General features: G+C 38.0%; 1 long non-coding RNA gene across 1 annotated transcript, besides 1 other annotated feature; it reads right to left on the minus strand.

Annotated features, from left to right (window-relative positions):
* LOC124904212 (uncharacterized) lies at nucleotides 1-23,255 on the minus strand. Its single transcript, XR_007066209.1, has 2 exons — nucleotides 22,746-23,255; nucleotides 1-5,906 (listed from the first exon to the last, which is right to left on the minus strand). It is a non-coding gene; the product is annotated as an uncharacterized LOC124904212 (long non-coding RNA).
* Nucleotides 16,084-16,284: a silencer, noted in NCBI's record as "peak307 fragment used in MPRA reporter construct". NCBI's record gives its function as "represses an SCP1 promoter by STARR-seq MPRAs in K562 erythroleukemia cells {active_cell/tissue: K562}" and the evidence as "EXISTENCE:reporter gene assay evidence [ECO:0000049][PMID:32103011]".
* Nucleotides 23,256-23,893: the final 638 nt, after the last annotated feature.

A 23,893-nucleotide genomic window follows, 5' to 3' on the forward strand; every position in this document is an offset into this window, starting at 1 on the left:
TTTCAACACTAATAACTGTTTATTAACACTTACTGTCTTTCAAAAACATGATAGGTTTTGGGGATATAAAGATGAACATATCTTGTCATTGAAAATATTCTATATCAAAGATAAAACACATGTCTTTGACCTTAAGAAGTTTGCATTCTGAAAGATATGAAGAATAATTACTAACAAAGTGCACTGAAACCTATGTAAGCATAACAATCTATACATAAAAACATAAGTATTTATATATTTATGATGAAATAGGAGCATTACTTACATCTTGCTGATAGTATAGCTTAGAATAATAGCATAGTAACAGTTACTAAAAATATATAGTGTTTATTTTATGCCAAACAATGAAATACATGCTTTTTCTCAAATGCATTAGCCATTTAATTGTTCCAGAAAAACCTACATTTATTATTATCACCATTAAGCAGATGAGACGATTGTGAATAAAAGAGATCACTTAACCAATGTCCCCATACTACTATAAAGTAGAGGTGGATTTCTGGTTTGAGTCTAAATCTTATGCTTTTATCCATTAAGCGAAGCTTCTTACAGTGAAATAGCAAATAAACAATTCAGTCCCTCATCAGTAAGAACTTTATGAGGTGATCCCTTTGCCTTAGTTATACATTCACAACTAACATGGTGTAAACAGTAAAAAATGCTGGGTTCAAGGTCTGGCTTCGCTAATGTCTGGTTGTGTGACCTTAGCAAAGTCATTTAACCTTGCCAATGCTCTACACCTTATCTATAAATGTGTTAAATAGTAAATAGCTTATATCATTGGCAAGTCTTAGACATTAAGTGTTTTGTAAATTGAAAAGGTGAATCTAAAGGTAAAATGTTATCAACTTTGTTTGCAATGTTGCAAGAGGCTAAATGAAAATTAGAAAATAATGAGCAACAATTTTGAAAATTCCTTATATCAGTATTTTATCCTGGAATTAATATCATCTCCATGATAAAATATAAAATCAAAAGAAACCAACTAAGAAAATCAATAATTCCTGAAAGAATTTGATGAGGGAGTTAAAAAGATCTCTATTTGAAAGGCAAGTGAGTGAACACCTATACCGACCAGTTGAATGATGTTAGCTAAGTCATTTACTCTCTAGGCTTCAATTTCCTCATTTACCAAGCTATAGGTTTGGGCTAAATAATCTCTAAATGCCCTTGCAAGTCTAACAGTTTATCATAGGAGACCCTCAGGATCCTCTGGCTGGGACCACTGTCCTCTACTTTGTTCTGACCAGTTTAGAGAATTAGAAATATCTTCCACCCAGTTGATCAAGTTGCATTTCAACCAAAGAAACTCTAAAGATAGTGGGCCTTTGGTCTGCTTTTCTGAATTGAATTAACAGTTTTGTAAAATGTATCTTTCATTGACTTCAATACCAACCCCTTAATCCCTGGAAATTAAACGAGGGAGTTTGAGTTTGAATTTCCCTGGTGTTATTGGTGTATGGAAAATCTTGTTACTTAAATCTCACTTTTGTGTGTTACATTGTAATTTTTAAGAGATCATCATAGCAATCTCCTATTTCTGTTAACTCTGAAAATCCAAATGGGTTTACTTCTTAAATTGCTAATAACCTTACCCAGCCAGACAAATTATCAAGTATACGGACTACAGTTGAACACGAACTCTTTATTTGATGAAGGCAAGGAAAATACTAAGATTTCCATTTTGAGAATAAAACTGCCAGGGTGAATTACTTGAAATGCAGTTCGACATGATGAAATGCCATAAATTATACTGAACATTTCTTTATGTAGATATTCAGCTCTGTATGCTTTTATTGATAAAGCCGCAACTCCCCCCACCACACAACACTTTTTTTTATGAGGACTAACAATTACATTACCCTGAAAAGGAACTTGACTCCTTTATCTGACTACCGGACCTTTACAGACAACTTATTGTCTTATACTAATTTTGGCAGAAAAAAACATATATCTCTGCTGAGAAGCTCTGCCTTGTACCTTGTGTCCTTTTGGTCTTTGTAGCAAGAGAAGAAGTCATTTTACTCGTTAAAAGCAGGAGCCAAGGTGGAAAGTATTCTCAGATACAACGTAACAAATGTACTGCTGCATAAAGATGCTTTTTCAAACAAAAGTCTGGCAGAGCTCAGGAATCAGAACAGAAGGTAATACAGAGTTCTACCAGGCTGTACTCGAAGCTCTCGAAGTGTGCTGGATGATTCCCCACACACTTTTCCCCAACTGGGCATGCGTTTTGGCAGTGAGTCTTCCGTTTAGGTTCTGCCATTTGATTTTCAGGGAATTGCTACAGTATACAAAAGTTAAAAAAAAAATCAAGGTTTTAAAGTTCCATATGTTTGAGCAAAGTCTTCAGTAGTGACCAGCTGTATTCCAAAGAAACCTGTTTGAAAGTTTGGACAAAACCTCTGCCGAGTTGGGGAGGAAAAGGCCTCGTTCCCTTTGCATTAGTCACTCCATAAAAGATTAATCCTAATGAGCTACTTTCTACAGGCAGGCACACCCAGGCTTTGTATTACATACCTACGATTTCTCAGTATTTAGGCCAAAATGTGTACACTCAGATGCTGATAGATATCGTCTTTCCAGAAACCATTAACCACGGTATTAACTGTAATAACTTAGTGAGTTTAAGGAATGAGGCCAAGCAGGGGGGGAGTCGCCGGGGAAAGAGTTCTTCAAAGCAGTGCAAAAAAACACACTGACGGAACTTAACATTTCTAAAAACAGAGCAAGAAGAAAACCCAGCCCACTATTTTTTCATTTCATCTGTTCTACCCTGCCATCCGTTCCTCTGCTAGATCAGTTTTCAGCAGGTAGTGCTGCTGGCTTAATTGATTTCATCAGTTAATGGCAGCCACTCTGATGGAGGTTAATGCTTTTTATCAGCAGTTCACTACTTTTGCACTATGACACAACTCCACTGTAGCCCGGTCCCAGGGAGCTGGCGGAGATGCCTGTTGCTCTGAATACGTTTCTAGGAGTTAAGGGTTTATACCTAACCAACTTTATTCTAATGCAGTTCTAAAATTAAATTTCCTTTATATTCCATGACTGTTTTGCCTTATGAAAAAGGGCTTTTTAATTTTATTTTTCTCACCTGTTGCTTGAAACTTTAGTGACTATTGAGACCAAGAAGACAAAGAGGCAAAGCAACTGGAAGAGATATACAAATGGAGATAAGGAGGGCATGCGAAGCAGGGTGAAGTCTGAATCCAGTCAGTGGTAGCAGTCAGTTTGAATTTAAACTCAACCATTGACTGAGCTGTATATACGGCCATATGCACAGCACAGTGCTAGGTGATGTCCCTTTAGCAAGCAGATCAATGACCCTCACCTTTAAAGACTTAAATTTTAGTGAGAAACAGATCAATAAATATTTGCTAACATTATTTTTGTAATTTTTTTGGTGACAAACTCTGACACAAAGTAAAGCACTTTATAGGCTGTATCACTTATAATCCTCACTACATCATATTATTAAGTAAGTATTATTCCCACTTTGTAAATAAGGAATGTTAGGCTCAGAAGACATAACTGCCCAAGCCAATAGATGGGCATTCGGGGGATCAAACCTAGATTTTTCTAAACTTAGGAATCATGTTCTTTAGGATTATGACATGGCGATTCACCAAGGATACAGTAAAAAATACTATGAGCCTATTGGAATAAAGCCTAAAACAGAGGTAAGAAGAAGTTCTTTGGGATAACAAAATAAGGAAAAATTAATTTTAGCTAGTTTAATTAGGAAGTTGTAGATCCTTGGCTGTTTCAATGCCTTCAAGATGTTACTAAGAGTTTTGAATGTCAGTTTAAGGTATATGAGTGTTATTTTCAGGAAGTGAGGTGCAGTCCCATCTTTCTAATTCAAGATGTAACATGCAAGCAGAAAGGAGGCTTTGAGATGAGGGCCTGCATTTCACGATAGTCTGTGCTGCCCAGTGCAGTAGCTGCTAGCCCACTTGTAGCTACCAAGCACTTAAAATGTGGCTAGGGAGACTGAGAAACTAACTTTTTAATTTAACTTAAATTACTTTAAATTTAAATTTTAAAATTGACCCTCAATTCAGCTTTTGGAAACTGTTTTTGTACATTTGAAATAACTTAGGTATGTGCATCTAATTTTTCAACTGTAAATTTTATAAAATCTAAACACAGATCAAGCACTTTTAATGAACGCTTAACTGAGATATTCTGTAAGTGTAAATAAAGTACATTCTAAATTTTGAAGACTTAGAAAATATGAATGCAAAATATCTTAATAACATTTCATATTATTTTGGATGTGTTGGAGTAAATACACTGTATTATTAGTTTCACCTAGCTCTGTTAATTTATTTTTAAATGTAGCTACTAGAAAATTTTAAATGACGCATATGGCTCATATCATATCTCTAGTGGACAAAGCTGGCTTAGTCTAAGGGCAAAGACTTTACTACTAGGCAGAAATTGGAGAAATCAGTAAAATCTGGACAAAAGCCTCAGGCTCTGTGAACTTAATATCAAGGGCATTTTGCTTTGGAGGAAGCAATAGAGCAATAGATGTGTACCTGTACCTGAGGTGAACAGCCTGTATAATCAAAGAACAGGACCAACAGAATGAGGCACTAGGCCCACATGAAGCTAAGGTAGTCATACAATTCTAGGACTTGAAACAAGCAGCAGATGTCACTTGTATGCACACAGCCTTCCTTTCTCCATGAGAAGATAAACACCAAACAATCAGCAACTGGTATGTACTTTTCAGTCACATATTTGTCTACATCTGTTCTGAGCCTATTTCAATAGTCTCTCAAATTTCAATTTGCCTTCACTTTGGAAGGAATGCAATATACCTTTACCTGGTTTCTTAGGTACCCTCCTTTGTTGGTGTCAGAAAGATTAAACCATGCAAGCCCTGGATCATGAAGGGAAACTTCACTTTCACCTCTAACTACCTAACCATCATAAACCCAAGACAGTCTCCATTCTCTGCTCTCCCAACCATTTTCAGACCTGCTTGGGAATCTGTTCTCCCCAGGAATCTTCAATCCATGATTAATAAAAATGTTCATACTCTCTTGGTATGTGTGTATGGTACCATCAGTCATGATATCTGAACAAAGTTTCACGTGGGGAGCCCATTCATTGCTGTGGGGTGATTACAACAACATATAATTCTAGTTGACAGCTATGTGGCTTCAACTTACTGAAGGTACTATTCCACTCTCTTGACTTTTATTGTTGCTACGATAATTCTGCTGTCTGCAGTCAGTATAATATTATTCTTTCAAATGATTTTTCCTTCTTTCTGGCGCTTTAAAGAAACTTGTTTTTTATGTTGGTGTTCTGAAGTTTCATTATGATATGTCTAGGTGTGGATTCAATTGTACTTATCATGTTGAGGCTACTTTTACTATTTGAATCTGATGATTCATGTTCATATCAGTTTTGGAACAATTTCTCAATTACCATTTTAATTGTGTATTCTCCATTTTCTCTGTTCTCTTCTTCTGGATTCCTTTGAAATAGTTCTCTTACATGTTATCCTTTTCTTTATCATTCTGTGCTACATTATAGGGGTAATTTTTAGAGATCCATCTTCCTGTTTCCTAATTCTTCCTTTAGCTAGATTTCATATGTACTTTAAAAAGATTGTTGGCCAGGCTCACACCTGTAATCCCAGCACTTTGGGAGGCTGAGGCGGGCGGATCACGAGGTTGGGAGATCCAGACCATCCTGGCTAACACAGTGAAACCCCATCTCTACTAAAATTACAAAAAATTAGTCAGGCCTTGTGTCATGCACCTGTAGTCCCAGCTATTCGGGAGGCTGTGGCAGGAGAATGGCGTAAACCTGGGAGGCAGAGCTTGCAGTGAGCCGAGATTGAACCACTGGACTCCAACCTGGGTGACAGAGAGAGACTCCATCTCAAAAAAAAAAAAAAAAGATTGTTAGTTTTATATTTTCAATGATTATTTAAAATTTTTATTTTCTCTATTTCAATAGCTGACTAGTCTTTTTATACTACCTTTAAAAATCATTCTCTCATTGCCTTTAAAGGTATTTAATACTTTAAAACATAATTATTTTATAGTATCTAGACTTCTTATGTGAGGGTAGGATGCGCATAATCCCATTTCCTGTGTGTGATGACTCTTGTTTACAGAGAATTCTTTTCTTTTTTTTCTGAGACAGAGTTTTGCTCTTGTTGCCCAGGCTGGAGTGCAATGGTGCGATCTTGGCTTACCGCAACCTCCGCCCCCTGGGTTCAAGTGATTCTCCTGCCTCAGTCTCCCGAGTAGCTGGGATTACAGGCATGCACCACCACGCCCGGCTAATTTTGTATTTTTAGTAGAGACGGGGTTTTTCCATGTAGGTCAGGCTGGTCTCGAACTCCTGACCTCAGGTGATCTGCCAGCCTCGGCCTCTCAAAGTGTTGGGATTACAGGCGTGAGCCACCGCGCCCTGCACAGAGAATTGTTTTCTAGTGTGTTCTGTAAATTCTGAATTATTAGCTCATTTTGAATAGAGATTTATCTGTGAGAATCATATTCAGCTTGTTGAGGATATATCCCTTCATAAATGTTTTGTGTTTGCTCCTACAAAGCATTCCAGTTTGGGACAAAGACATGTAAGTATCCATGTTTAAAGGGATCCTTGCTTACATTGATAGTATAATTTTGAAAGCACATTGGCCTAAGGGAAAGTAAGAGGTTATAAACTCTTAAGTATGTAGTTCCCCCTTCCTCTTAGAGCTTATGTTTATTTTTTTAAACCATCTTTATTGTTTTCCCATACAAGTGGGAAGGGTTTTGAATTTATGCTGTCCAGCTCCAGACTTATAAATGGGGTCTGAGTAACACCTCTCTCCCTCCTTGGGGCTCCCTCCTTCGGCCTTGCCTCTTACTCCTTGGCTGCTGAGAATTGTGGCTCTTTCTTACCAGCACTAAAGCATCAGCTGCAGCCCACTGTCCTGCTAATGTTTCCTGTTCATTTTTGAAATTTTTTTTTCTGACTTTCATGTTAGCTGGCCCATGCCATGCATTTAAAAAGATGTATGGTATTATAATATTTTTTAATTTCTAGGTATTTCATAGCTGGGACAGATGTCAAGTTATCTTAGTACATCATTGGTAGAAACAGAAATCCTCAGAAAAGCTTTTCCTCCCTTTTGTTCCATAGCATGTATCTAGTGTGCTTTGAAAGTGAAAAATACTAGAATGTGGAACAAGTCAAATTTTACAAGTTCTTGGATGCATTTGGAGTAAATAAAGGAGTGGTACCTTTACACACTAACTTAGACCCTTTATGCTACAAAACAAATTTCTCTGATGCAAGTTGGAGAGTAGTTGTGTTGTGTTGCTATATGTGCATACTTATTCATAAATGCATATTTATTTGTGTGCATAAATGGATACATATATAGACATTGATATTTCACTTTGGAAATTACTGCTTGTCAGCGCCTACTTCTGTATTACCCAGCTGTGTTTCTTAATTACTTCTCCTGAGGGGTGACACTCACCATGGTTCCCAAATAGCCTGTATTCAGATCAGGCAATATGTGTTTCTCTCGCAGCCCCAGTGCACTGAAATCTGATCACTCCTGCCCTAACCATTGTTCTCCAAGGTTTGGGTGCTACTCTTCAGACCAAGAACCATTGCCCTTAAAACGACCATTGAGCTACTGAGTTACTGCTTTTCTTCATGTGCCCGAGTTCCTAGACTGAGTTCTTTGTGTTTGCCCACTGTCTTGAAATCCCTATTCTGAGAGATCCTAGCCCTAAATCTGAAATCTGTTCCACTTTGTTCTTGCCAGTGTCTCTTTCTGGGACAGAGCACCTGCCACCAGTTGGTGATAACATGATGGAGGTACTCCAACCATGGTCAAACCTCTTAAAGAAATCTCCCAAGTATAACTTGCTTGGATTCTGCATGCACATGTGTTGCCCATTGACCTGGGGCCCTGAGACTTCCTCTTGGAAAACCTGGTACATAATATTTTCTAATTTGTACTAGTCAAGTTCTTTGGACACCATGCCTTGCATAGCTTTTCTGTGTTTATGAGAGTTACCATTAATGATTACAACCAAGTTCCCAGGTAAGTAATTATCAACTATTTGTATAAGGTGAATATAAATATTAATCTTTAGGAGTGGTCAAATATGTGCTTATATTTACATGTATATATTACATATACATACACACCCACACCCACATACACACACACACTCATATATATGCTCTTCATTTTACAAACAAAACACCCAATAGAAGATGGGTTGTCAAAATATTCAGCCAGGCTAATAGTTTTGATATTTATTTGCAAACTTCACTTAGCTATTCATTCTTAAAATAGAGATAAGACTTTCATTCTCTTTAGATTTTTATTTTTACAATAATTCAATACAACAGTTTTTCCATGATTATTCTTAATATGAGCATTTAATTCCTATTTTCTCATCAATAACTTAAAGTAACTATGGAAACTCTATAATAAAAGTTGACCACTTAAAATGTACAGCCTCAAAAAGTAGATATTCTCAATATTTTAATAATAGGGCAAAATACTTATTTCAGTCTCCTATGAATATGGTAAAAGGTGAGGGAAAAAAAAAAAAAAAACCCATGAAGTTAGTAGGTGAGGGAATAGGACAGACTGGAATAAGAACATGGTGCCAACAAGGGTATTAAAGAGAATGAGGGATGCGTCGTGAGAGAGCAGGGGGCTGAGGAGAAAATTGGTAGGAAGGAAGAAGGAGCTATTCAAAGAAGGGGAAGACAGGTCCTGCAAAGAAAGGCTAAAAAGGTTTGGGAAACATTTTCAATTACCCAGACAAAGGATCTGGGCGAACGCTTCTAAAACGGTAGAAAAGAACAAAGTCCCAGTAGCAGAGAATGAGGGTCCTTTTTGGGGGTGGGAGAGTTCAGAGGTAGAATTTGGTGGAGTTCTTCTGGCAGACATTTATTCAACTGGATCTTGTAAAATTTATTTCTGGAATTTAGAATTGGAAAGTTGGATGTAACAGAATATTTAAGTAAAAAAAAACTATGTAAAATATACCAATTGCAAAAATATGAAGTCAAGTCTTATATAATTTTTAAAACATTAATCTTATTTTTCCTCAGGAAATGATTATAATTCCATCCATAACCATAAGAGTGATTAATTTGAAAGTTAAAAAACCTTCACATGCTCAAATTATTCTTAATACTATGGAGATAGAATGTGTTTTGTGGGAGTCAGAAATAAAAAAAAAGTATATAAAAGAATGCCATCAAGTGGGAAACCAGCCGAGGCCTGTTTCTTAAGAAGTCTTAGTATCTACTAAGCAGCCCACATAAAAGGAACATGTATCTTAACGTATCTGTCATATTCAAACATATTAGTCATATTCAATGCATTTTAAAATATCACCATGTATTTTATAAATGTAATTCAGAAAAACTTTGCTAATTTTCACTTCCCTAATCTGCAAACCCCCAATTCTCACAAAGAACCCTGCAGTCTCACTTCACTTCTCAGCAAAGATTTAATAGCTGAGAGCTCTATCGTGTTCTCCTATTACTAAGACTTCATTACTTTTACATGCCACACTACAGGACACTTACTAATATACTATTAAGTATTATCATAAATAATTAAAATGCAACTACACTTGACAAAATGAAAGAACAAAGTGTATTCTGTGTTGCAGTCAACTTGTGTGTATGTTGGCTGGAGTGAGCTGAGCACATATTTTAAAAATAGAAAATCAATTACTAAGAGCGACCTCAGTCGCTCTTAGCAATGGGCCTACCTCTCATTAGTGTGAGTTAGTGAGGTCTTTTTCCGGCTCCTACCTGCCAGTTAAATCATATAGTCATTATATCATTATCACTGTTAAATTAAAAAAAAATAAGTACCAGTAGAATTTTGTCTTTGTGCCAGCCTTTTTCACATAGCCATGCCTTTCATTCCTAGTTGATTTGGTATATCCAGCACTTTTTATGCTCCCTTGCTTGCCTCACACATCCTGAGGTAAGAATTTACTATCTTATTAATTGGTCAACATATATTTGGAAGCACATACCATGTGGTCAGCATATATGAACAGTGTTCAGGATATATAAGTGTAATAGCCTTTGTCTTCAAGGAGTTTACAATATAATTTGGGTAACAAGATCAGCATAGAAGAAAAAAAAAGTCCAGGTGTGGTAGCTCATGCCTGTAACCCCAGCACTTTGGGAGGTTGAGGTGGGTGGACCACTTGAGGTCAGGAGTTTGAGACCAGCCTGACCAACATGGTGAAACCCTATCTCTACTCAAAATACAAAAATTAGCCAGGTGTGGTGGTGCATGCCTATAGTCCCAGCTACTCGGGAGGCTGAGGCAGGAGAATAGCTTGAAAGCTTGAACCTGGGAGGCGGAGGTTGCAGTGAGCTGAGATCGCGCCAATTGCACTCCACCCTAGGCGACAGAGTGAGAGTTTGTCTAAAGAAAAAAAAAAAGAAAGAGGTACCAAGTGACCAGTATTAGAATACATATAATTATGTTTTAGATTGTGTGGTCTTTACTCCTGGGGCAACATGTCAGATGACACTGAATCCAGAAAAACTTCCTAGATGCCATGCACCTGGGTTAAGTGTCAGTCATAGGTGCTCTGCTGGCATCCTGCATTTACTCTGTAAAAAGTTGTTCATTTTTATGTAGCTGTAATGGGATTCATGTCGTGTAATGTAATATTTCTCACTAGACCATATGCATCTTGAGGACAAAGACTGACTTTAGTTCTCAGCACCAACCCACTGCCATGGAACGCCAGGCACAGAAAGTGATAAGGAGTGTGCAGCAGCATGAGACTGGAGAGTAGGTGAGGCTGGACCACACTGGCCTCACCTGTGGCCCTGCTGCAGAGTTTGGCCTTCAGCCCCACAGCAATGGAAAGCTGGTGAAGGCTTTCAAGCAGGCAAAATGACAAGAGCAGATTGGAGTTTTGAAAAAAAGCCCTCCATCCACAGTGTGTTGAAGAACAGAGCAAAAGTGAATGCAGGAAGCTCAGATCATTTGAAATAAACATTTAGTTAAGTAAGGAGGGGTGGCCAAAATTAACATGTGTTTGTGGTGTGATTTACTCAAATGTGGGTAATAGCCAGGCTTTCTTGGCCAGTGGCATGGAAGTGTGGTTATTGCTCTGTTGTTATGAATCAGCTCATTATTTCTGAAGGTAAATAGCTTAAATTACATTACTATCACTTTTGATAATCTTTGATAGTCTATAGTATGTGCTGTGTTCGAAGTTGGGTATAGACATAGAAGCAAATTAAAAGTAGTACAAAAATAATACTCAAAAAGTTTCACTTACTCTGTTAGTAGGTGGCTTTGCTAAGATATTCCAAATGGAACATTTTGTTTTCTAAATCTATTATTAGTTGCTAATCTTGCTAGGTGTGTGGTCCAGATTGCTGGATTTTTAATACCTATTTGTCATCCTCCTTTGCCAAAGAATATGAAATTGTCCAGTCAGTGTTTAAGGAAATGAAATTAGTGTGAACCTTTAGGATTCTCCTGGTAAACTGGTATCACTTTGGTTTCTAGAAGATGTGGATCTGGACTTGGAGTAGTGTAGGGGGTAGCACAAAGTTTTTTGGGTTGCAGGTAACTCCCTCGATACTAGCAGGAACAACAGGTTTCTTATTACGTTACTCTCTGTGCCTTAAGCCTTTCAGTGGCTCTCCATTGCTCTTTGGATCACTTCCAATAGCTTTAATAGGGTCTGCCAAGCCCTGCGTGGACTGGCTGCCTCCTACCCACACTCCAGCTTCAGTTCGCACCTTCTCCCCAGGGGTTTAGGTGCACAGGACTTCTTTAATATCCTTAAATGTGCCCATCTTCCTTTGACAAGGGACATTTTGACTTCTTTCTGCACTCTCCCTGATATGCTTCTGACCCCATTCTCATCCTCCCCTCCAACTTTGCTTAGTTGATTCCTACAGTTAAAAAACAAATCTTAGTTCAATAAATACGTTTCTCAGGCACACCTCTGAGATGCCGCCACCAATCTCTACCCCAGACTGGGTAAAACTGACTTATTTTATGCTCACATGGCATTATATAATTATCCTTCACAGCACTTAATACTTGTACTTTTAATTAATTATTTTACATCATTATTTGATTGATGCCTCTCCCTCATCAAACTGTGAGCTCTGTGGGAAGAGCAAGCATGTCTGTTTCTGTGCAACATATATCCCTAGTGGTTAGCACAAGATCTGACTCGTAGTAGGTGCTTGATAAACATTTTTGAATAAAGAAGTGAATGAATATGTAACTCTAATAATACGTTTCTTAATTTTTCCCCCTCTGTGGTCTCATAATCATTTGCTGGAAATTGTGTTTTTGTCTGTATTTCACTTTGAATTATCTAAACTCTCTAGGTGCAATTGTACATCCTCCTATCGCCTTACCTAGTATAGGAGGTGGGAGAATGGTAGCCACTAAGACAGAGGCTCAATTCTAGAAAGTCCTGTATAAACTCACTAGGGGAAACATTTCAGCTTCCCAACATGCTCTCTTGCCGCTGAGAAGAGATAATAAAACAAAAATTGCAAAAGGGCCAAGAGGCCCTAAAGAGACCTCGTATGTACTAGACCTCTTGGCTCATTCTCTGCCATTTAAAAGGAGGTACTCTGGACATTGTGAGCCTCTATTTTACTTTTCTAATAAAAAGGTGAGATTTAAAGGGAAGTAGATTCAAGTAAAAATAGAAACCACTAAAAATCATGGAAAATAAAGACTTCATAAATTCACTTAAAAGTTCATCTTTCAGGCATTTCTAGAAACATAAATAGGGTGGAAGTTCATTCATCTTTCAGAGAAGCACAATTTGTTTCTCGCCTCTCTTGTAGTACATATGTGAGAATCTTATCCTCATAAAAATTGCTTTAGGGTAAATATAACCTTCGTCTAATTTTTTATTCCTCTTAAATTCATTCTTACTGTTCTTTGCAGAAAGTGGTCACTGTGGTGGTAGAGACAGAAAGATTTGGGGCAGCTGGGAAATGAAGAAAAGCAGCAGGTAATTATGAAGTAGGGGCAGTTTAAGTCCTGACTTGTCCCACTATTCGTTCTGTGGGCCAGAGATCCTCCAGTTCCTCTGGCTTCTGGTTGTCACAGGCACAGCCTTGGAAGCGGTGACCGTGGGGTCCCAGGGAGAGTGGAGAGGGACTGATTCCAGCAGCATCAGCTGTAGGAATGCAAACATGCTCTCTGGGGTTGAAGCAGCAAAGCTGGCCAGGAGCCTTCTGGGAGACTTGTTTTTAGTCCTCTTTAAAGTTGTAATAAAATGGTAGAAAGTAGTTTTGAAGCCTCCTTTGAGCAATGTTATTGTCTGTTCCCTTTGCCACAGCAGGGTAAAGTTGATAAACTGCTAAATAATCAACCTTTGTATATTTCATTAGAAAACTTTAAAATTTTAAATACTCACTTTATGGCCCTGATAAAGCATGACAGATACCCATTGCTGTCCTCATTGCACTCCTGTAGTGGGTGGATTAGAGATGCCTGCTTTAACGGCACGCTAAGGGGCTGTCACTGGCCTGGATTAGACCCCCAGTTCATGACTCACTGATTGGAGAGAGTAACTACTCCTGGGAAGCAACAATTTCACATATTTCAGGGAAGAGGCTGGGCCCAAGGTAGAAGTGAAATCTAGTCTCTTGGGGTTGGTTGGGGGATATAAATAATATTTATTGGGAAAGAACCACACACATAAACGTAGATCCCAGACTGGGATAGGAGGAACCTAAGAACATAATTATTAACACTTTGGAATAGTCACGTTTGTTTGAATATGGGGATTGGGTCTTATTCATTTTTGTATCCTTACTGTTTTGTGCAGTGCTTGGCACATATTAGGTGCTTAATAAATGCATCTAATATGCATTATGTTTGATGAATACATAAATGAATGAAAAGACAAACTGAGTAAACCTCAAATAGAATTGTCCTCTATATTAGTTTCCCAGGATTTCTATAATGAAGTAGCACACATTGTGTGTCTTAAACAACAGAAATGTATTGTCTCATGGTTCTGGAGGCTGAAAATCTGAGCTCAAGGTGTCAGCAGGGTCATATTCCCTTGAAGGTGCTAGGGAGGGATTTGTTCCAGTACACTCTCCTAGCAGTTTAACACTAATCTTCACATGATGTTCTCTTTGTGTGCATGCCAATCTCCACCGGCACCAGCCACATTGGATTAGGGGCCCACCTTATTCCAGCATGACCTCATCTTAACTAATTACATATGCAATGACTCTACTTTCAAAATAAAGTCACATTCTCAGGAACTGGAGGTTAAGACTTCAACATATGAATTTTAGGTGAACACAGTTCAGCCCCTAACACCCTCTTGACTGCACTATGAATACAGTTAGAAGTTTAAACTGGCTGGATGCGGTGGCTCACACCTGTAATCCCAGCACTTTGGGAGGCCAAGGCAAGTGGATCACCTGAGGTCAGGAGTTCAAGATCAGCCTGACCAACATGGTGAAACCGTCTTTACTAAAAATACAAAATCGGCCGGGCATGGTGGCACATGCCTGTAATCCCAGCTACTCAGGAGGCCGAGGCAGGAGAATTGCTCGAACCCAGGAGTGAAGTTTGCAGTGAGCCGAGATCATGCCATTGCACTTCAGCCTAGGCAACAAGAGCAAAACTCTGTCTCAAAAAAAAAAAAAAAAAAGAAAAGAGAAAAAAAAAACCAAGAAATTGAAATTGATTATAAAAATATTCAAAGGGCATTCATTTGTTAGGTACTTTTCTGGATGTCAAGAGATACAGGTTCTGGACTCAGCTTAGTTATTAAAAACTGTGTGAACACAAACAAGAATTTCATTTGGATTAACAAGGGGGCTGGGATATAAGGTCTTTAAGGTACTTTTTAGCTCAAAAGTTCTATAATGTTCTTAGCTATCCATCTGAAATACACTTCTTATATGTGTTTTTCTTAGTGTTCCTTGCCTGTTGCTGCACATTTAGATTAGACTTTCAGAATTCTACAGCAATTGAGTCCAGCAATATTTCTTTAAAGAGTTTAAGAGCTTGGCCCTCCTGCTTCAAAGAGGCCAATGTTCTGAATTCATGAGGTCCAGGGACCACGTCTGTTTCACCTACATGACATTTCAGTAGCTACATCTTGCCTGGAACTCAATACTCAATAATAGTAAACGCTCAATAAATTTGTGTTGGATAAATATTGAATGAATGAATGTACTTATTTCAGTATTATTTTCATAAGTTTTTCAAATGTGTTCATTCTATATATACTTAAATATTTTTTCCTCAGTATTTACATTTTGCTATAACTATCAATCCCAATGTAACTTAGAATTCAAAAATTTCATGTTCAATGTCCATAGATCAATGGTTGTCTATAAAGTCCTTTCAAGCTACCTAGGGGATTATATGGAATATTTTGAGCATTGTGAAGAAATCAAGATATAGTAAACACAGCACTGCATGAAAAATGGTATGAAGCTACAAATGTCCAGTGAAATCTGGTGGAGAAAATTAGCACCTCTCTATGGACTTTTCTTAATAAATCTTACAGTTTCTATTTCTATGTAGATATGTAGATGGTTCTATGTATTGGGACACTCATGAAATAAAAAGCATAGTAAAAAGCTGAGATTATAGAAAACATCAATTTCTGTGTTACCTCAATGTTTGGATACAATGGATCGTGTACAGTACTCAAGGAAGGGTGCATAAAAATAGTGCAGAATACTTTATGAATTATAAACATTTTCTTGTTATTATTATTTAAAGCCCCAAAGAAAATTGGTCTCTAATACTATTTTCAGGGATTTGACATTATTTCTTTATTTTCAGTGCTTGAAATTTAAACTTGTCCTAGTGTATTAGTCCATTTTCACATTGCTATAAAGACATACCTGAGACTGGGTAGTTTATAAAGGTAAGAGGTTTAATTGACTCATAGTTCCGCTTGGCTAGGGAAGCCTCAGGAAACTTACAATCATGGCACAAAGCAAAGGGGAAGCAAAGACCTTCTTCACATGGTGCAGGAAAGAGAAGAGGGAGAAGTGAAGAGGGAAGAGGCCTTTATAAAATCATCAGATCTCATGAGAACTCACTATCATGAGAACAGTATGGGGGGAACCGTCCCCATGATCCAATCACCTCCCACCAGCTCTCTCCCTAGACACATGGGCATTACAATTCAAGATGAGATTTGAGTGGGGACACAGCCAAACCATATCACCTTGTGAAATGTAAGAAGAAGTATTATTTCCAAAGCTGCTGTGTCATCTCTGGCTAAGCCAAGAGCCTTTGTACTAACCTACGAATTCTACCAATAACAGGACTGCTAGGTGTGATAGCAAGCAACATTAATTAGGTAACCTAATTCTTGAAAAAGTTTAATAATTTGAAAGAGAATTTTAAGTTAGAGAGAATAGGATCCCAGGAGTATTTCATTCCTCCTATTTCCACCTAACCCTGTAACCCCTTGCTAGTCAAACCTCAACTAGCCATTAGCCTGAATTGGGGGAACTGTTTGAAAAATCTTACAGGGTACAAAAGGTGCCTCGTCTTACTGAACAGTTAAAGGAAACAGGACTCTTGCAACGATAATGTTAGAAAATTATATCTAGTTTAATTTTTCTCCTACATCCCGGTTTCATTTATGAGACTGTTCAGTTCTCTGAGGCTGTAGCTGAAAATCAGGAAAGCCTTTCTGCCAAAGAAGAAAAGTTTCCATTTGACAGAAATACTGTTCAGAGTGATTGATTTAAAAGTGCTGAACTCATATTCAGAGTCTAAAATCCAGGAACTGCCAGCTGGGTTGGGATTCAAAATTACAAGGCTGGAGTGAGTTTCTGAGTTGGGACGCATTAAGCAGTGGGGGCAATTGCTTTTCTCACCTGTCTCACAAGGGAGGGAGAAAGGGAAACATTAAAAAATTAAGAAAAGAGATCTTTGGACTGTTGAGTTACTGCATCTTGCTCTGCTAGAGGCAGAACCACCGTCTGCATTTAGCAGGGAAACTTTGGTGAGGAATTTTGATAACCATGAATTGTTTGAAAGGGTAGTTGGAGAAGACAAAGTAAATAATAGAGGAGGAAAACCGTATAGACCACTCACTTGACTAAGGCTGGACATACTAAATATGTAGGTGTCTGAGAGCATAATGGACCTATTTAAAACAAGCAAAGCATTTCCGGGGTGTAACTAAAAGGAGTTGGTCTGCTGGAAAAAATAGCTTTTGAATATTCTGCAAGAAACAGTAAGCACGAACAATGGTGCTAGGAGATTAGGACATGTAATGTTAACTTACTCTTTTAATTTGTGTACTGTGGTTTTTAACAGATGGATTTATCAGTGGTTTGTTTCTTCTTCTTTTTTTTCCTAACGCATGCCGAGCTGTTTCCTTGCATGCCATCTTAAATAAAAATATTTTTAAAGGGGACACAATGTTAAGGGAGACGTATAAATAAGGCAAGTGCTAATTACAGTGTCTAAAAAGAATGTCTTTATCCTGTAAATCGCAGCACAACTGCTTACACAGAGAATGAGAGAGCTCCATTCTGGAGCTGCACTTTCTATCAAGTCATGGCGTATAAATCTGGGCAATAAATGATCAGGAGGTACTGTACTGTGTAACTTGTACAATGTTCATAAAAGAAATTAATGAACAAATAAATATTCTCTGATGGATGAGCTGGCAAAAATATATCTTGCAAAAATGTCTTCCTCTTTAGTTGGAGAGAATGGCACGGAAGTGACATCGCTTTGAACAGCGCGCCTCGCTTCACAGAGATTAATGCTTGAAAAGTAATCTTAGTGCCTGATCAGAGAGCCTTGACATAGACCATAACCCTGTGGCTGTCAGTGGGGGATCTGCCTGGGGTGAGGATGCAGGATCAAGCTATTCTCTCACCTTCTGGTCACAAAGCCACCAACCTACATGAAATTCTCAGAGACCTAAGTATTGATTTGTATCCACAGAAAGAAGTTTGTGGGTCTTCACTGTGAATAGAAGTAACCCTACAAGCTCAAAAATCTGTAAAGGCAGAAGACTTTTGTTAAAGAAGTGCTCAAAGAATGACAATGCCGGTTTATGTCCTGTGAGTTTTGATTACACAGTGCAGAAGCAATTCTGATCTGGTTTCATTGAGATAGATATGTAGGGTGCACCATCAGAAACACCACTCGTGGGATGTCCATTTCTTAGGCAGGCATATACAAATGCTCTATGGCCTGTGTCAGCCAGTCTAAATTCTGTGGTGTGGTCTTTAACATTTCAATTAATATGACTATGCTTCCCATTCATAAATACATCCCACCATTTCAAAACAGAAGTATTTTTACTTTGTTCTTACCTTCCACATAATCTCTGGCTTCAACCATCCTTCTTATTCTCCTGTCCCAAGCATTGCACATATTGCTTCTTCCTTGGCCCTACACGTACCTTCCTCTCCAAGGATATATTCCCAGCCCATCCTGCAAGGCACACATTAGGCCCCCGTTTCTCAGGGTACTACCCCATGGTGATTTCTCCATTCTTTAAACTTTTGGTTTTAGAACTTGATAGCACACTGAATAAATTTTCTTGTAATTGTTTCACTTCTCTTCATATTATCTTCCAAAGTAGGCCTAAGCCTTTTGAGGTCAGAGTCAGTATTATACAAGGCAAGGTTACGTGTCATGTGAATATTTAAAGTAGGCAATTTGATATAGTGCAAGTTAAAATATTAATAGCTCTTCACTTTATGCACAAAATTTGAAATAATCATTTAAAATTAATTTATAATTTTAAAATGTCATCAAGAACCTCTAATTTCAAAGTTTTATGCTTTAGTCTTACAGTAGTATCTCTTTAGCTGATAAGCAGAAATCTTTTTTTTGTCAAGATCATGTGAACCACACATCTGTTTACCTGCAATAAAATGTTTGCAAATCATTTTGGTAACTATTTTGAAGTTATTTTAATTGTAATATAATTATACTTTTAAAATTATAATGTATTAAAAGGGGATTCATGTATCAGCATTAATACTTCAGCTCCAAAGAAATGTGCCCCAAATAAATAACTTTGAATTGGAAGTTAGATTTGATACGAAGATACTAAGAAAGCCAAATAGTCACCATGATATGCTGTGAATCATTTAAGACAAAGTCCTCTGTGAAATTCTAGAGACAGCATGGTGAACAAAAAAAGCAACATTAAAATAAACACATTTTAAAATTCTCAAAAACTGTAAAATAATCCAGCCAAAAATGATTTAAAATTGGAAAAAAAAATAAACCCACCTGGTGTTGTGGCTATAAGATCAATACCCCCAATCTGCCCAAGGCGATAATGGCCATAGATGTATGAATGAATTCTGGCATGCCATCCCCTGCTTTGTATTTATTACATTAATTATGTAAATTTGGAATTCTGGAGAAACACACACACCTTTCTTTTGCTATGTTGTTTTCTATAGCATAAGGTTGTCACATAGAATATAGGATAAGTTTAAATTAAATTTAGAATTTCAGATAATTTCAGTTAAATTTGAATTTCAGATAAACAACAAAGAAATTGTTGGTATAAGTTTTCCCCAAATATTGCATGAGACCTACTTGTAATGAAAAATTGTTCACTGTTTATCTGAAATCCAACTTTAACTGGGCATCCTCTATTCTAGAACTAGTTGGATGATTTGTAGTAATTAAAACCCAACGAGTATGTACGTGCTCATGTGCTTATGCACGTGCACACGTGTGTGTGTGTGTGTGTGTGTAAAACCTAGTTTGGAAGATTTTTAATTCTAAGTTATCTGGCATAAGCTTCTACCTAAGACCAGAGTCCAGTTTATAACAGCTCTTTTAGATTATCTCTGATTTAACACAGTGATGGAATTTACTCCACTAAAAGACAGCTATAATGATTACAATTTTAAAACAAAATTATCTCCCAATCTTCCTGCCCTCTCCACAATAGAATATAAGTGTACTCACTATTTCAGAGGATATCTTTATCATATGTAAAGATAGGTGTGATATTTCATCCTCTGTCTAACCCCTGTTCCTGTCTCCCCACTGTTTTATTTTCTTTAGGCTGAGAAAGTTACTATTTTCTTAAACGATCCCTCATAATAATTTAGTTTCCAGAGCCTTTACTAGTTCTAGTAATAATTGACATTGCATAGCCTTTGAAGTGCACTGTTGCATAAGAATGTCTGCTGTCTGTCTGTCTCTCTCTGTCTCCTCCACCACCACTGAGCTGGGCACATAGTAAATGCACAATATTTTCTCTAGGCCCTTCGTGATTCTTCAAGCTAAAATTATCCTATCCTTCCTCTGTTGTCCAAATGCTCTCTCTTGTTATTCACATAGTCAACAAATATTTATTGGGCACCTACTGTCAGCCAGGCGCTGTTCTAGGCTTGGGAGACCAGTAATGACTGGTAAAAAAAAAAAAAAAAAAAAATAGACAAGGCACTGCCTTCATTGAGTTTATGTTCATGTGGCAGAAGAAAAGAAATAACCTAAAATTATATAATTTATCTGGCAGTAATAACTAATCTGAAGACAAATAAAGCAGGATAAAGGGGATGAGGGCCATGTTGATAAAGCTGCCTTTGAGCAGACACCTGAGGAAGAGAGAATGTGAACCACACAGATATCTAGTAGGCAAAGAACCACAGAGGCACCAGCCTGAGCAGCACGTTTGGTGAGTTCCACGAATGGCAAAAAAGCCAGCGTGCCAAGAATGGAGAGAGCAGGGGGTGTAGGGAGGAAGTGATAGGAGAAGAAAGATGTAGCCTGAGCTACATTCAGGTTATTTCTGAGCGACTATTGCCTGAAATGCAAAACAATCCATTCCTGTAGGGCCAGGACTATGTCCTGGGCAATGTGGGCATATTGTTTGTATGCAAATCTGGTTAGGGCATTTATTCTCCGTGGACTATAGCTTTGATGTGGCAAGTCAGAAGGGCTGAGGAGTTGCCCTTCTTTCCCTCCTTGCTCCACTGAAATTTCCTCCTAAAGATGAAAACTTGAACTATTAGAGTGGGCTGCTTATATCTAAGGGAGATGTCGTTTGGCTGAAGCTACATCAGCAGGTGCATCTGCTGGCTGAAACAGCCAAAGGAATTCTTGCTTTAATGACACTGGTAATCTTTTTTTCTTAGCAGCACCCAAAATTCTGCGTAACACATAGTAAATTGGAAATAAATGTTTGTTAAAAGGAGTTGTTGAGCCACTCAATCCACATTTTTTTCACCTCCATTCATTAGGTTGATGCTATTCGGTAACTTCAAAAGTCTCATCAATTCACTAAGGATGGAAGTTTCCTAACTCATCCTCTTTTACATGATGCATTTGTTTACCATCTTTTTCCCAAATGTGACATTTTCCAAAGATTCTTTTAAAATTTTAATTCAAATTGCATCAACTGGCTATCATGAGTGACCACTAGAAAAATGACAATGGTAATTTCTTTAACCCAGTTCCTTTCTTACTTCAGATGATGCCGCTGTTAATAGATAACTCCACACTGTGTTCATTTGTTGTAGTATTTTCTGCTCATTACCAACAGGCACATACTGACCACAGAAATAATAACATTTTGTCTCCATCTGGTATTTATGTTATGCATGCTTGTAAAATTCAAAGTCCTAAATGCGTGAAGCAAGATGAGTCTCCTTGAGCCATTGGTGATCTTTCCTTCTCTCTCGGGAACCCCCATCTTCTTTCCCGTAAGTTCTAGTGTCCTCACCTTTGAGCTGGCAGGCTTTTAGAATACCCTAGGACTTTCCTCTGTTGCCCCTCTACCCTTGTCCAAAGAAGCTTCTTTCCATTTCCCTCTTCTATAGGACTTTTTCTTCTGTGTATATTGTGGTTGCTCAATAAATAATGGTTGACTGACTAGTTTGTATCTGTTACACTGCCTCACTTTCTTTTTCCTCAAGCACCACTTCCTACAGACACCTACTTGATAAAATGCCTCTATAAAGCTATCATCATGAATACATTTGCTCATATTTGGCAAATATGCTTAAAGTTACAGACAAAGGGATGAAGTGGGTTAGGGTGATGAGAGAGTAACCAGAAAGCCCTCCATTGAGTTAAACCAAAGAAAGTCCCATTTAAACTTAAATACACATTGTGAGCCATAAAATCAGTACTTCCAAAGGTTCTTGGTCTATCCCATATGACAGATGATCAGCAGGTACATTTTAAGAGGCGCCACGTCCACAATCCACAAAGATTTCTCTTTCAGAAACACTAGTTAAAAAGCCAAAAAACAAAAACCCCACCACATTCATCTCCTTGCTAAGCTTAGAAAAACAGGCAAAATGATGTCGGGTTTCTTCTTGCCATGACCTGTCCTCTTTCTTTTTTAACCCAGTTATAATCCTTTTTTTTTTTTTTTTTGAGACGGAGTCTCGCTCTGTCGTCCAGGCCGGAGTGCAGTGGAGCAATCTCGGCTCACTGCAAGCTCCACCTCCCGGGTTCACGCCATTCTCCTGCCTCGGCCTCCCGAGTAGCTGGGACTACAGTAGTCGCCCGCCATCGCTCCCGGATAATGTTTTTTATATTTTTTTTTAGTAGAGACAGGGCTTCACCGTGTTAGCCACGATGGTCTGATCTCCTGACCTCGTGATCCGCCCGCCTTGGCCTTCCAAAGTGCTGGGACTACAGGCGTGAGCCACTGCCCCCAGCCCCAGTTACAATCTCACTCCTACCCCGAATCAACATCAAGATGAACAGTTACCTTCAAGTGCAAATGGAGAGGACCAGGAAGGGATTTGGGGGACTCATAACTGTTGCCCAGTGGCCAGTCATTTCATTTCTGGAAACATGGTCTTCACATGTATTTATTCTTCTGCCCCACATGGATGTTCCCAAAAACCATTCTGTGTCTCTCCTCCTTTCTGTGTTTTCCCTAAATTCTACTATGGCAGTCTGGGCACACATCCAACATCAGTGAACGAAAACCTCTTCATGCAGTCCAGGTTCAGCATTGCATACCAGCAGTTAAATGCTGTCTTCCCCGTCACACATCCAAACAAGAGCATATACAATATCAATAAGCTGTTCCTTTAATCTTCCCAGCACTATCGAGGTGTTTATATTTGTATGGGACATTTAAGCAATTCTAGCCAATGGGCTTTTGCGTTAGGGTAGGCCCCAGGCAGGGAGCAGCCTCAATTGGAAACAGGAACTGAAAGTGTTCTTGGTAAAACTCTCCCTCTGCCCAAATCGAGCTGTCTAACTCAATGCCTGACCTTCTTTAAACAGGTCACCTCAGAATTATGGAGCAGTTTGATAAGCTGGACTATACTAATTTATTGGCCATTAAAAAAAGAGGAAATTTTATTATGAATTACTCTGCTTTCTTGAAAACTTTTTTTATAATTAAAAACATCTGGGAGGCATTTTAATATATCATAAACAAGAGGAAATCCAAAGCACGTGACTTCTAAGAAAATGATGCAAATAGAATTCCTTGCCAAAATTTACTGTAATCTGTTTTGCTTTTTTTTTTCCGGGGTGGGAGTATAGAGGCGGAGGATTCAAGAAAGGAGGGCAAGTGAGAATAGCATTGAGCATTCTGCAGAGAAAACAGTTATTTCAAATTTACTCTACTGATAGTTTTTGCCAGTGTTAGAAGGCATTACACATTGGCAGAGCCTCTGAAATATATTTGGTTTGTTTTTAACAATTAGTCATTTTACTGGTCATTTTTTTTCTGAAATGGACAAATAAATAAACACAAACTGCATTAGGAGGTTGTAGTAAGATGTAGAATCAGAAAGGATACATCTTTCAGGGTGAACTTAGGTAAAGAACAGATTATTTGCTTAGTGTTTTACTCTTTCTATACCCATTTTTTATTGGTATAATGGCATAATAAGGTTA

The sequence above is a fragment of the Homo sapiens genome, chromosome 1 (genome assembly GCF_000001405.40).
Source record: "Homo sapiens chromosome 1, GRCh38.p14 Primary Assembly".
Lineage (NCBI taxonomy): Eukaryota > Metazoa > Chordata > Mammalia > Primates > Hominidae > Homo > Homo sapiens.